The sequence below is a fragment of the Homo sapiens genome, chromosome 10, assembly GCF_000001405.40.
Source record: "Homo sapiens chromosome 10, GRCh38.p14 Primary Assembly".
Lineage (NCBI taxonomy): Eukaryota > Metazoa > Chordata > Mammalia > Primates > Hominidae > Homo > Homo sapiens.
In genome coordinates this window covers 87755816-87770883 of record NC_000010.11, presented here as the reverse complement: position 1 = coordinate 87770883, position 15068 = coordinate 87755816, and the positions used below count along the sequence as shown (strand labels likewise).

At 36.9% G+C, this 15068-nt stretch overlaps 1 protein-coding gene and 1 long non-coding RNA gene across 16 annotated transcripts in view, besides 2 other annotated features; one reads left to right on the top strand and one right to left on the bottom strand.

Moving 5' to 3' along the window:
• LOC124902476 (uncharacterized) overlaps window positions 1–3206 on the bottom strand; it is a 36088-nt gene extending 32882 nt beyond the window's left edge. The window contains exon 1 of the long non-coding RNA XR_007062224.1: window positions 512–3206. This is a non-coding gene — a long non-coding RNA (uncharacterized LOC124902476). The remainder of the gene's footprint in view (window positions 1–511) is intronic.
• ATAD1 (ATPase family AAA domain containing 1) overlaps window positions 1–15068 on the top strand; it is an 89850-nt gene that overhangs the window by 70478 nt on the left and 4304 nt on the right. For 9 of the 15 annotated variants that reach the window (XM_005270252.6, XM_047425908.1, XM_017016847.3 and 6 more), the window contains 2 exons: window positions 3161–3211; window positions 13962–14095. In XM_005270252.6, coding sequence (XP_005270309.1) covers window positions 3161–3211; window positions 13962–14095 — 185 coding nt within the window. Of the gene's footprint in view, window positions 1–3160; window positions 3212–4478; window positions 5314–11096; window positions 11184–13961; window positions 14096–15068 lie in introns of those variants that run through there. The other 6 variants (XM_047425911.1, XM_047425912.1, XM_047425913.1 and 3 more) reach the window with 2 other exon arrangements.
• Window positions 3955–4166: a silencer, noted in NCBI's record as "fragment chr10:89526475-89526686 (GRCh37/hg19 assembly coordinates)". NCBI's record gives its function as "represses an EF-1alpha promoter that drives an FKBP-Casp9 reporter gene in an ReSE screen in K562 erythroleukemia cells {active_cell/tissue: K562}" and the evidence as "EXISTENCE:reporter gene assay evidence [ECO:0000049][PMID:32094911]".
• Window positions 8816–8915: an enhancer, noted in NCBI's record as "active region_3712". NCBI's record gives its function as "activates an Ori minimal core promoter by ATAC-STARR-seq in GM12878 lymphoblastoid cells {active_cell/tissue: GM12878}" and the evidence as "EXISTENCE:reporter gene assay evidence [ECO:0000049][PMID:35858748]".

The following is a 15068-nucleotide window of genomic DNA, read 5'->3' as shown; positions in this document are numbered from 1 at the left end:
TTAAGAAGGGAATATTTTGTCATATAGGGGTGCTTATGACAGGGAAGGAATGGGGCAGAAACCCTGACAGTAGCTTCTTTGTCCTTTCCACTCTCTATTTCTATCCTAAGATTAGTGTTACTTGCTTCTCTTCAAAGTATATATATATAGTTATCTCAAGTTTGCCTGGCTATTTTAGTGATTTACTTTAGGATATAGGAAGTCATCTATACAGGAAGATACATAAGAAAATCTAAATTATAGTTTTGGTTTAGCATAGAATAGAATTGGAGAAATTTGGCTTGAAGAATTGTTCTATTCAGAAGGCCTGCCATGAACAACAACAGGGATTTATTTGATTGAGTATTGGCAGATGTAGTCAGTGCTTCCCTGATAGGATTAATGATTCCAGTAGATATCATAGTTTACCTTAAGAATGCAAACGCTTAGATGGTGTTAAACCAGTTCTGCCTTCTTTCTAGCATTTTTTGTTAGTTAAAAAGTACCCCTCTAGTAGATGATTATGACTTACCAGTACACTATAATTTTGGCACAGATCTTCAAATCTTGAATTCTGTCTGCCTTCAGACTGCAAAGGAAAGAAAAAACAGGTTTTACTAGTAGAAAATATGTTCCATACAATCAGCATGTTACATGTGTTGCCATTTAGAGGAACTTACTCTAATTCCATTTATAATCTGGCTAAAAATCATTTGTCCCATTTATATTCTGTAATTTATCAGATTGGTTTTTGGTAGTAAACATGATCTCTGAAAGATTGATGGTTATGGACTCTATAAAATTACTCTGATCAACTCTTTACTATAGCTACAACTGTAATAAAGTGGTTAAGTGTGTGCACATCCTTAGAAAATTTACCCAATGAATCAATGAAAAGATTTTTAAACTTAATTTAGGAGACTATAAAATTTATTTAGTATGACTGATTTTTTTTTTTTCTTTGAGACAGAGTCTTGCCTGTCACCCAGGCTGGAGTGCAGTGACGCGATCTTGGCTCACTGCAATCTCTGCTTCCCAGGTTAAAGCGAGCCCGCCTCAGCCTCCCAATAAGTTGGGATTACAGGCGCCCACCACCATGCCCTGCTAATTTTTGTATTATTAGTAGAGACGGGGTTTCACCATGTTGGCCAGGCTGGTCTCGAACTCCTGACCTCAGATGATATGCCTGCCTCAGCCTCCAAAAGTGGGATTACAGGCATGAGTCACTGCACCCAGCCTAGTATGACTAATATTTATTGAGCATTAATATGTGTCACAGACCTGCTAGGATCTGGTGGATGGGACATGGGCCTGGTCCTTGAAGAATTCTGTTTTGGAGAGGCAGACACAGAAATAAATAATGTAAAATATGCTTTATGAAGGTATGTTTAAAGAGCTATGAGAGCCTGAGATGTTGATGAAAACTAATATTCTGTCAGGGAAGTCCATGGAATTTACAGAATCCAGCTGGACCTTGAAGGATGATAGGAATTTGACAGGCAAATGAGACAAGGAAGGGCTTTCCTGCCAGAATGAACAAAGTCAAGAATTTGTGGAAGCACTGTTTAATGGTGAGTTCTGAGGGTAGTTTGGTGAGCGCAGCACCAAGGAATATAGATGGAGAGGAGGCTGAAAAGGTAGACTGCTTCTGGGTTTAGGTGAACTTTATATGCTTTGCACAAGAGTTTTGATTTTGTAAGCAAGACATCAGAACACTTTTTTAAAAATTTGTTTACCTAATTGGTTCTGAAGATAATTTATAGAATCTCTATCACTAATCCAATAGTTAGTACAATGGACAATTAAGGGTTTTTTAAATTTTATTCTTTTTTTAAAGACAGAGTCTTGCTCTGTCAGCCGTACAATTATAAATTATAGCCCACTGCAGCCTTGACTCTTGGGCTCAAACAGTCTTTCCACCTGAGCCTCCTGAGTAGTTAGGACTATAGGCATGCACCACCACGTTTGGCTAATTTTTGAATTTTTTTACAGACGGGTCTCACTATGTTGCCCAGGCTAGTCTCAACTCCTGGCCTCAAGGGACCCTCCTACCTTTGCCTCCCAAAGTGTTAGGATTACTGGCATGAGCCACTGTGGCTGGCCAGCTATGGTTTTTGATGTACAGTACAATAGAACATAGGATACAGTAGCATGGAAAGTAGCCACAATTAAAGTTGTAAATTTAATATGTCGTGTGAGTAATCAAAATGGGTTGTAACAGGTTTTATCAAGTTTATTATAAATTTGTATAGTGTTAACATAGAAATGGAAATTTGTAACCTCCATTTTATTCCATTTTAGTGAATACGCTTTATAGGTTAGTTTTTTTTCTTATGTAATATGATGTAAAGTGTATGGTTAATCTTAAAACTTTTCTCCAAGTGAAATGTTTAACAGAGTATTTGTTGGTGATCACATGACATATCAAATTAACCTTCCTACTTGACACACTTAAATTACAGAAAGAGCAGAGTTTGGTTTGTTTTTCAAGTAATTTGATTTGGTAGTCATTGTAACCAGCTCTGCTTTGTCGATGTTTGTGGGAATAGGGATAAATTCAGCCATGATAGTTTTAAGAAGCATCTATATTGACTATATAGCTGAGGGATTCTATAAAAGGAGCTAAATGTAGTTTGTATTTATTGTATGGTGTAAAAATAGGAATTGTCACTGGGGGAAAAGCATACAGACATGTAAACAAATATATCATCAGCACTAAATTAAAATTCACTAATATAAATTAGTGGTCAAAGAAGGAGAAGGAAATGGAGGAACTGAGAAGTTACTGTTGCCATCTCTTTGAATTACTGATAATAAATTTTATGGTGAGTTTTCATGAGTTTCCTGCATGAAGGGAAAAAAAATGAAGATTGCTGAACTATAGAGGGAAGACATTATAGTCATAGATATTCATTTACTCATTAAAGATTAAAGGTGTGTTATTTCCCAAACATTGTACTAGGCACTGGGGATGAGAGTAAGAAGATACAGTTCAGTAGGAGAACCAGAGATAATTACTCTAGAGCCTTGAATCTAGTTGCTTTGACCTCTTCAAAGTTTCTGTCATCTCCTTATAAGTATTGAGAGAGACTTTAGAAGGGACAAAATATTAGGAACACTACTTGATCTTTTTAAAAAAATAAAAAATAAAAATGCTAACTGGAAATTATCCTGCTTTTAGGCTTTAAAACAGAGAGAAGCAATCCTGAAACTCATCTTGAAAAATGAAAATGTAAGTAGAAAATAAAAATTTTTTCCCCGTCCTATAAATCTGATGTTCATAAAGTTATTTTAGAGAAAAATGAGGAAGGAATCTGAGAATGATATACCCCAAGGATCTCCAGCCCCTGCAGCCACAGACTGGTACTGGTCTATGGCCTGTTAGGAACTGGGCCGCACAGCAGGAGGTGAGCTGTGGGCTAGAGCTCCACTTCCTGTCACATCAGCAGCGGCACTGGATTCTCATAGGATTGCAAACCCTATTGTGAACTGTGCATGCGAGGGGGGTTGCTCGCTTCTTATGAGAGTCTAATGATAAATGTAATGCACTTGAATCATCCCCAAACTATGCCCCCCTCCTCCACTTCTCCAGGTCTGTGGAAAAATTGTCTTCCACAAAATTGGTCCCTGATGCCAAAAAGGCTGAGGCACTGATACACCTTTGAACTTGACCTGAATCCTCTTGGTTGCTTATGTAACTCAGTAACTATGGTATATGTGAGTTAAAGATACTTTTCTTATGTTTTTAGAGCCATGTGTTTTTGTATCTGTGCATTAAAATGCTCTGATATTTTTCAGACTATTGTCTGATTTTATGTAAGATACATTTGTTTTTCTACAGAAGTTTTTTGTCGTTGTTTTTTACTTAATTGCATTTTTTTAACCTTTCCTGTGGTGCTGAAAATTGCAATATTTTTTGAAGTTGAAATTTAAATTTAAGAAGTTGTGGTAATCAAAATTTTCAATAGCTTTTGTGTTTAAGGTTTTTTTGGTCACATGTTTCAAAAATTAAAGTATGTATATTTAATAATACACGGAGAAAAATCTTCTCTTTTTTCCTGTATATATTTTTTTCTTTTCTTTCTTTTTTTTTTGAAGCAGAGTGTCACTCTGTAGTCCAGGCTGGATTGCAGTGGCACGATCTCGGCTCACTGCAACCTCTGCCTCCCAGGTTCAAGTGATTCTCATGTCTCAGCCTCCTGAGTAGCTGGGATTACAGGCGTGTGCCACCACACTCGGCTAATTTTTGTATTTTTACCATGTATTTTTTGCATTTTACCATATATTTTTACCATGGTTTCACCATGTTGGCCCGGCTGGTCTCAAACTCCTGGCCTCATATGTTATTTCTCCTTTTATTTACTTATTTTTTATATAAACTATCAATAACACATACACACTGTTCTGTGCATTGCTTTTTTTACGTATCGTTGAGATCTTTCCATATTAGCATCTAGTTTCCTTATTCTGTTGTCTCTCTTTGTTTTTACACTACATAGGATTCCACTGTATGGACATTCTGGAATTTAGTGAATCAATGCCACATTGAAGGACATTTGGATTGATTCTGGTCTTTCACTATTATAAAAATTCTACATTTAATAACCTTGTGTGTATGTCATTTCATACTTATACAGGAATATTAGTAAAGTAAATTATCCAGGAGCGGAATTGCTAGATCAAAGGTTAGAGTGTTTATAATTTTGGTAGCTATTGCCACATTGTTACGGTTTACTCATATTCCTGTGATAAAGAGTGCCTCTTTTCCTATAGTCTTGCCAACAGAATGTTATGGAACTTCGTGCCAACATGATAGATAGAAAATGGTTATCTCTCTGTTTTTTTGTTTTTGTTTTTTTTCTTTTTTGTGACATGATCTCTCTCTGTTGCCTAGCCTGAAGTGCAGTGGTGTGATCAGGGCTCACTGCAGCCTTAAACTCCTGGGCCCAAGTAATCTTCCCGCCTCACCCTCCCAAGCAGATTACAGGCATGTACCAGCAAGCCTGGCTAATTCTGTTTATTTATTTAGTTATTTATTTTGTTGAGATGGTATCTTGCTGTGTTGCCCAGGCTGGTGTTGAACTCCTGGGTTCAAGCAATCCCCCCGCCTTGGCCTCCCAAGGCTGGAATTATAGGCATGAACCACCACAGCTGGTCAAAAATGGTTATCTCATTAAAGTTTTAATTTGCATTCTTTAGGGATGGAATGAATATTGTATGTTTAAGAAGCATTTGAATTTTTTTCTGTGAACTGTATATTCATATATTTTGCCCATTTTTCTATTGCAGTGCTCCTTTTCATAATAAATCTGTAGGAACTCTTTGTATTATGGAGATTTGCCCTTTGTATGATTTGAAAATATTTTTTTCCAAGTTGTCTTCCGATTTTATTGGAGTTTTCTTCCCCCCCACCCACCCCCCCTATGGCTTCTGGATTTTGAATATAAATTTAAAGGCCTTTCCTACTCCCAAGTTTATAAAGTAATTTTCCACACTTTCCAAACTCTTGCTACCTGTTTTCCCAAAACTCGATAACTGCATATAATTGAATAACGTGGTATTCCTCTTTATCCCAAACTTGATATCTAAACTCACTGTTACAACTCACTGTATAAACTAATAAATCAAATAGATTCTGATAGTGAATGAACCTTAGTAGAGATACTACTTTTATCAAAATACTTGTATTTTTATGGCTTCCCTCCTTCCTTGAACTACCAGAAACCCCATGGCTAATTCTTCTCCAGCCATGCCCTACTTCCACACTTCCTATTTTTTCCCATTATATCTCACCCATAAATGTTTTAGTTGTATCTCTAAAAGAAAAGGATTCTTTTTTTTTAACCTAGCCTCATTGCCATGTTATACCTATTAAATAATTGACAGTAAGTCATTATTTTCATTATCTAGTCTATGTACAAGTCTCTGATTATTGTTTTCTAAATGCCTTTTTTTAAACCATGTATTTGACTCAAGATCGTATGAATTTCCTAATTTGCAATTCTTTGATACTTTTTATGTCTCTTTTAATTTATAGGTTATAGGTTCTTCCCTTATCTTGCTTCCCCCCCACACACCCAACCTTTTAAAATTATTTACTGGAGAAACTAGGTTGGGTTTGTCCTAAGTTGTCCACAGTCTGGGTTTTGCCGATTGCAGAGGAGTAGTTGTTGCTCTAATATTGGTAGTTGGATCAAGAGACTGGATGAGGTTCAGGGTGGTGGGGAGGAGACACAGGACAGGACAGCACAGCTTCATAAGTAGAATTATGTTCTTCCATCAGGAGAAACATAATATCTCAGTGGCTTGTACGTTTTACATTTAAATCTTTATCATATTTGGAATTTAGATAGATGATATGCAGTATGAATCCAACTTTGGTTTTGTTTTTCTAGATGGATACCTAGTTGTCCAACACCTTTTTGTTTGTTTGTTTGTTTTTTGTGACGGAGTCTTGCTTTGTCACCCAAGCTGGAGTACAGTGGCGTGATCTCTGCTCACTGCAACCTCTGCCTTCCAGGTTCAAGTGATTCTTGTGCCTCAGCTTCCCGAGTAGCTGGGATTACAGGCACGTGCCACCATGCCTGGCCAATTTTTTGTATTTTTTCATAGAGACAGGGTTTCATCATATTGTCCAGGCTGCTCTCGAAGTACTGAGCTCAAGTGATCCACGTGCATCGGTCTCCCATAGCAGTGGGATTTCAGGCATGAGCCACTGCGCTCGGCCCATTTTTTTTTTTATAGCCACTACAGATGCCACTTTTACCAAATTCTCATATGTATTGTCTCTGTTTCTGGACTTTAAATTCAGGTCTTGGTCTTTCGTGTCTTTATGCACTAGGATTAATACTGTTTTAATTATTGAGGCTTTGTAAGTTTTAATATCTGGTAGAACTATATATCCCTTGTTGTCCCCGAACCCCAAGGTTATTTTAATTCTTTTTCTCTGCATAAATTTTAGAATCAATTTGTCTTACATAGGAAAAAAACAAGCATTAATATTTTTGGTGGATTCTCATTTAAGATAATCTTTTTGATGTTGAATCTTTCTGCCCAAAGGCATATATGTCTTTCTGGGTTGTTTACCTTTGTGTCTTTCAGTTGTGTCCTAATGATTTATTTATTTTTTAAAGAGATCAGATATCTTATCAAGCAGAGTTCCATGTAACTTACAAAAAAAAAAGAGAGGAGAGATAGAGTCTCACTCTGTTTACCCAGGCTGACGTGTTGTTTTTTTAGGGTCTCACTGTATTACCCAGGCTAAAGTGCTGTGATATGATCATAGTGCACTGCAACCTTGATCTCCTGGGCTCAAGTGATCCTCCCACCTCAGTCTCCCAAGTAGTTAGGACTGCAGGCATGCTTCACCACGCACAGCTAGTTGTTTTTTGTTTTTTAAAAATCTTCTTGTAGAGAAAGGGTCTCGCTCTGTTATCCAGGCAGGTTTTGAACTCCTGACCTCGAGGTATCCTCCTGCCCTGGACTCCCAAAGTGCTAGGATTATAGGCATGAACCACCATTCTTGACCTATTGCCTTAAAACATATCAAAATAACATATAGTGTATGCAAAAGCTTAAAGAACCTAGCAAATTACAAAGATTAGGATCAGTGGTTATGAATCATTTTGGGGGGAGCATGTCATAGAGCCCTTTAAGAATGAGATAAAAGTAGTCTTTTCTAAGAAAGCTACGTATGTACATGAAATATGTACAGTTTCAGAGAAATTCCTAAAATTCTCCATGTTTTTTAGGTAAGGAACTTTGGTCCTAGATAAGAAATCAGTAAATTATATTTTGCCTTTTTTTTTTTTTTTTTTTTTTTTTGTGACAGAGTCTCGCTCTGTCGCCCAGGCTGGAGTGCAGTGGCATGATCTTGGCTCACTGCAACTTTCACCTCCTGGGTTCAAGCGATTCTCCTGCCTCAGCCACCTAAGTAGCTGGGATTATAGGCGCGCGCCACCACACCCGGCTTATATATATATATATTTTTTTTTTTTTAGTAGAGACGGGGTTTCACCATGTTGATCAGGCTGGTCTCGGACTCCTGACCTCATGATCCGCCCGCCTCAGCCTCCTAAAGTGCTGGGATTACAGGCATGAGCCACCGTGCCCGGTTGACTTTTAATTGAATTTTTGATAACTGCTTTCAAAAAAACATTGTGTAATCCTGGCACTTTGGGAGGCCAAGGCAGGCAGATCACCTGAGGTCAGGAGTTCGAAACCAGCCTGGCCAACATGGTGAAACCCTGTCTCTACTAAAAATACAAAAAAAATTAGCTGGACATGGTGGCTGGCAACCGTAATCCTGGCTACTTGGGAGGCTGAGGCAGGAAAATCACTTGAACCCCGGAGGCAGAGGTTGCAGTGAGCCGAGATCGCGCCACTGTACTCCAGCCTGGGTGACTAGAGTAAGACTCTGTCTCAAAAAAAAAAAAAGTGTAGTTGTAGTATTGTTTAGATAAAACACAATTGGTAAACCTTTAACAGTGATAGACACCAGTGAAAAGTTTAGAGAAGAAAATAAAGGGGATAGTTAATAAGTTCCTTTGAATTAGGATGGCCATGGTGTGGCTAGAAATTTAACAGATACTAGAAGGTAGTTACAATTTTGGAGACTTCAAGTTAACCAATACAGTTATTTAATTTAAACCATTTTAATGAAGGATCGTTTTGCATGACTGGAAGTTTATAACATTTTTGAAATATAGTGTGGTCTAGTGTAGCTGGAGATGATGCAGATGATTTACATATAGCTGATTAATATGAGTACAAGTGATGAAATTTAAGCCCTTGTAACAGAGCCATAATTTACACAGGTTATTTAGTTTCACATTTAAACTTAAGAAGTTACTCATGTCAGTGCTGGGCATGGTGACTCATGCCTGTAATCCTAGCACTTCTGAAGGTCATGGTGGGAGGATCACTTGAGGCCAGGAGTTTGAGACAGGTCCGGGCAACATGATGAGACCTCACCTCTACAAAGAAATTTTAAAATTTAAATGGGTCTGCCTAGTTACTCGGGAGGCTGAGGCAGGAGGATCACTTGAGCTTAGAAGTTCAAGGCTGCAGTGGATGCACCACTGCATTCTAGCCTGGGTGACAGAGCAAGATCCTGTCTCTAAAAAAGAAATAAGAGGAAGAAATTATACATGTCTCTTAATTTTAGTATTCAGTATTCTGCTTTCTTAGTACTGTCTTTGGAAATTCTTTTAGGATTATATTTTTCATGGCTACAGGGAATTTTTTTTTTAGACAATCTCTGCTTTGTCACCCAGGCTAGAGTGCAGTGGCACAATCTCAGCTCACTGCAGCCTCCCTGGGCTCAAGTGATCCCCCCGCCTCAGCCCCCTGAGTAGCTGGGACTATAGGTGCATGCACCACACCCAGCGAATTTTTTGTATTTTTAGTAGAAATGGGGTTTCGCCATGTTGCCCAGGCTGGTCTAGAACTCCTGAGCTCAAGAGATCCACCCATCTCAGCCTCCCAAAGTGCTAGGATTACAAGCATGAGCCATCCCACCCAGCAGATACAGGGAATTTTTAGCAATTCTGTTATTCATAAAACCACAAAGTATAGTCTCTAATCAGTTTTATGTTGCAAAATACGAATGCTCTCTGGATAATTGCTGACATGAGAACATCTCGTCATTTCCCACTGGTTGGTATTTATATGCTGAAGGATTACTGCTACTTCAATAAAATCTGAAGAAAATTAATTTAATTTTGTTAAAGATGCCTCAAATCAGTAGCACATATATTTATTTGGTAAACTGAGCACTGTCATACTTATACATTGTGGAGCTAAATAAGGGTTTTTTGTTGTTTTTTTTTTAAATTCACATGAACTTCCAGACTTTGAGTTCATCTTCTCTGAATAAAAGATTGAAGCTTTTGAAATGATACTGTGTTCTACTCTTTTACAATTATTTTATTGATAGGTATTCCTTAACATGATTCGCTTATTTTAAAAAGATAGTGTAGTGATTTTGGCTTAAGGTTTTAAGTATAAAAAGAATTAGCACTGATAAAATTTATACCCTATAAAAGTATTTCGTCTGACTTTAAGGAGGTAGCTTTTTTCCCTATACAAACTGACCTGAAATTACTTTTGTATGATATAGCAGCAATAGTTTTTGTTTTTTGTTTTGAGACAGAACTGACAGTCTCCTACATTCTAGCTGACCAGCCTCATCATTCTAGCCAGACTGGAATGCAGTGGTGTAATCCTAGCTCACTGCAGCCTTGAACTCCTTGGCTCAAGTGATCCTCCTGCCTCAACCTCCTGAGTAGCTAGACACACCCAGCTAGTTAACAAAATTTTTTTTGTTGAGATGGGGTCTGTGTTAGCCCGTTCTCAAACCGCTATAAAGAACTACCTGAGACTGGATAACTTATGAAGAAAAGAGGTTTAATTGACTCACCGTTCCACAAGCTGTACAGGAAGCATGGCTGGGAGGCCTCAGGAAACTTAACAATCATGGTCAAAGGCGAAGGGGAAGCAAGCATGTCTTACCATGGCAGAGCAGGAGTGGGAGAGAGTGAAGGGGGAAGTGCCACACATTTTTAAACCATCAGATCTTGAGAGAACTCACTCACTATCATGAGAACAAGGGGGAAGTCTGTCCCCATAATCCAATCACTTCCCACCAGGTCCCTCCCCCTAACACTGGGAATTAAATTCAACATGAGACTTCGGTGGGGACACAGAGCCAGACCATATCAGGGTCTCATCATTTGCCCCAGCTGGTCTTGAAATAAAATTATAAGTGTAAAATGCTTAGAGTACATAGATGTTATTTACAAGTATACTATTAATGGTGGATATAATAATAAACAACTGCATAAGTAAGTATCATTCTTTCAAGCTATTTTAGAAGTCTGTTAACTTATTCTGCTGTTGCTGCCTATACTCAAAAGCTTTTTAACTTGGGAATTGCCTTCAGAGTTGCCTAATGAAAAGAGTTCTCATTATTTCATGGTTTATCTAAAAGCTATTATCTTAGAACAAAATGAGCTACTTTTAGAGTGCTTGCTATGTGCCAAGCATTTTGGTGAGCTATACATTGTTTTATTTAATCCTCATTTATCTAAGGAGTACATATTAGTCCTATTTTACAGCTGAGGAAACTGAAACCCAGAGAAGTTTTGTAATAACTTGCCCAGGATTACACAAAGAAGTGATGGAGCCTACTCTTAACCATTAGGGTATGGTACCTCTTAATTAAATCTTGCTCCCCCAGTGACTGGAATCTTCTTTTCTTTGTTTTCTTATACTTGGTTGGTTCATCTTTCTAACTGTATCATCTTATCAGGCACAAGATTTGTGAGTGGTTAGAACATAGGGTGGCCCAACAACGGAGTGGTCAAAAGACAGGAGGAAGTGTTGGATGTTTAATTTTTAACATCTCAGAGTATAGTTTGGAAAGCTCTTTAAAGTAGTTTGTTAAATGTATGAAATATTTCAAACATATAAACAAATAGCCCCATTATCTTCCACCCATATTTAACAGGCAATTTTAATATATTTCCACATTTGCTTCATTTTTTTTTTAATTAAGTACAGCCTTAAGCAACCACTGGCCACTTCCCATTATCACCGTCATTGGTAACCTGCTGTCCAGGAGTTGATAGAGTTTATCAATCCCGTGAATATATGTGAACAGATACCTAATGCATGTGTATAGGTATATGTTATTTTTATTCTTTTTACAAACAGTAGAAAAATTAGATCCTTGTATGTGTCTGTTTCTTAAGGACACATGAGAAGAGTTTCTCAATTCACAAAAAATTAAAAACTACAAAGGAAAGAGAATAGAGAAGTCTGACTATAATCAGACTTAAAGCTTCTGTGTCACGGGGTAACATGAACAAAGTGAAAAAACAAGCCACAATGAAAATATTTGCAACCCTATAACCATCAAAGGACTAAGATCTAAATTATATACATGTATGTACATGAGATCACAGGTGCTGTCACCGGTCCTAAGAACTCACTGATGTGGCAGTACATGAGACATAAGTTAAAAATCTTCCAGTATTGTGAATTTGCCCATTTTTATATGTAATTATATAAATTTCTGCTGTATATGTTTTGAGGCCATGTTACATGTATGTCTACAGGGGCAGAATTGTTGTATTTTTCTGGTGAATTTTTTTTTATCATTATATAATGACTTCTCAATTATGCATTTTGAGTAAAAATCTGATGTAACTAGAACTACATTAGCTTTCTTTTTATTAATCGTTGATGTCTTTCAGTCTTTTACTTCCTGCTTTTCTTTGTTTTTATTTCAAATGTAACACAAAGACTGTTTTTTTCCCTTTAGCATAAGTATTGTCTATTATAAACCTCAAATAGCTACATTTTGGGTTCTTTTGTATAAAATCTTTTACCAGCCAAGTTTAGTCTATTTGCATTTATGGTAATTACTCATAAATTTGGATTCATTCATTATTATTTTAATGCTTTCCATTTATTATGCTTTTTCTTTGCTTATTTGTCCCAACCCTCTAGTCCTGAGTTTGTTAATACTGCTCTTGTATTCTTTATTCTGTTTTTCTCCCTTCCTCTATTGGTTTGGAAATTACACATTCTCTTTCTTCCTTTAGTGTACCCTTTCTATCCTTTAGTGGTACCTATGTATTTTGACATACATACATAAAGTCTAAGTTAATAATATCTGTACCCTCTTTTTAATGCTTTAATTGTAACACTTTAGAGTACTTTAATGTAGATGTCTCCTCTGTCTTACATGTCCTTATTGTACAGCATTTTAGCTCCACTTTGTTTTTGTACCCCAAATGATTATGACTACTATAATAACTATTATTACTACTATTTATATAGCTAAAGTTTATTTAGATTTATCCATGTATTTACCATTTGCTTTGCTTATCATTGCTGCTTGCACTCCTGCCCTCTGGGTTCAGTTTCTTTTTATCAAAAAACATGATTTATCTTCATGTAACCCTCATGTTTAGGAATGAGAGCACTGTCATGTGAGGTCACAGTTGCAGAGCTGGCAGTGTTGTCTCACCTTCAAGTCTCTTGTCCTTGTGTAGAGTTGCTGTTCTTCCTAAAACACTGTGTCTTCCACGTATACAAATGGGAATTTAGTAAATATAATACAAATACAAATGGGAATTTAGTAACTATAAGGTGTCATTTCACATCAGTGGGGGAAAGTAAATGTTGCTGTAACAAGTGATGAGCTGAACAGGGGAAAAATACAGCTGGACCTCACTATATTGTGTTCAAATCCTGGCTCTGACCGTGTTTACCTGTCCAGGTCTCATGATTCTTATCTGAAAATGAAATTGATAGTTTCTGAGAAGATTAAATGAGAATAATACATGCAAAGTGCTTACCCCAGTGAATGAGACATAAGAATCATTTACTAGATGGTAGTTATAGATTTTTTTCTTGCTTATTTTCTCTTCTTAATCTGTACATAAGTTTAGTATGATTAGACTATCTCAAGTCTATTATGTGGCTAGGACAGTCACTTAATTGGCTTGACTATAAGCTTAGCTTGAGGAGCAAAAGTATAGGTGCTAAATTCATGTTGAGATAATAGAATACCAAGCATTACAATTAAAAGGAATGTTGAGTGTTTTGTTTTTTTTTTTTTGTAATGGACTCTTGATGTAGGTTATTTGCCAAGTACTGTATGTTGAATGTATTACAGAAAAATGTCACCTTGGTACCTTCTTGAGAGATATCAAAGAAAGTCCAATATCCGTTCTTCCCCATCACTCTACAGTGTATCTAGTAATAATTATTTGTCTTAATCATAAGGACAAATAATGAAAATTATATTTCAAATTTCTAAGCTTTTGTGGTTAAAAAAAGCTTCTAGAAACTATTGTTTCTCCTCCCATGCAGTTATAATATGCTTAACTTTCTTTAAGATGGGTGTTTGGTAGTATCATTTACAATATATTTATTTTTGTTTTTTAAGCATGTTTTTATATTTGTTTAAGGTGGATAGGCATGTAGACCTGCTAGAAGTTGCCCAGGAAACTGATGGGTTTTCAGGAAGTGACCTAAAAGAGATGTGTCGAGATGCTGCCCTCCTCTGTGTTAGAGAATATGTTAATTCTACATCAGAAGAAAGGTATGTTATTTTGACTTGATTTTTAACACTTGTCAAAATCTTTTAGAGCTTTTAGGTTAGTTTCTTTTATTTTGCTTTATATTAGAAACACCGCTTATGAAATAAAAGGTAAATTTGGATTATCACCCCCTGCAACTTTATTTATTGCCATTTTTCCAAAGCAGAATTCTGAAAATGAAGGAGGGCAGAATTGTGGGAAGGGTCTAGAATGAAGGAGAAAAAAGGTGAATTTCTTCTGATGATCCGTGGAAATTTCACATGTAAATGTGAGGGGAAATTTCCCATGTAAATTGGAGATATTGAAGACTAGACCTCAATTTGTTAACGAAAATGTATTTACTGAACAAAGAAACCATTTATCACTGCAGCAATTTTACTTGGAACCAGTTCCAAAGTATAGTGAAGTTGAGAATCCAATTTTTTTAACAGCCTTATTTCAGCAAAGATACTAATGAACTGGAATAGTTCAGCCCTGGTGAACCATGTCCTAAAGGAAGTTTCCTAAAATGCCACTTGCCTGGAACCAGTATTATACTGCATTTCTTTTCAGAATATCAGCCTTCTAACAATTTCTGTGATTCTTGGTGAACTCCAGTGTACTTTTAGGGGTTGTGTTAAAGGAATTCTCCAACTCTTGTCCCTTTGTCTCTTGGTCTCCCTTCCTCACCTTCCTAGGGATTTCACTCCTTGCCTGTGGTATTCATATATTTAATTGCAGTGTGTTGCCATAGCAAACTTCAGCAAAAAAATGTTTTGCGAGCTTTGATATAGAAAGGTCTGCATGAAAGCTACTCTGTCAACTGGTAGCTGTATATGCAGTGGCTCTGGTCTCATCATCGTTAGTGCACCCTCAGAATCTACCTTCCAAAGGTTTTATTCTTTTTTTTGAGACGGAGTTTCGCTCTTTTGCCCAGGCTGGAGTGAAGTGGTGTGATCTCGGCTCACTGCAACCTCTCTCCCCAGGTTCAAGCGA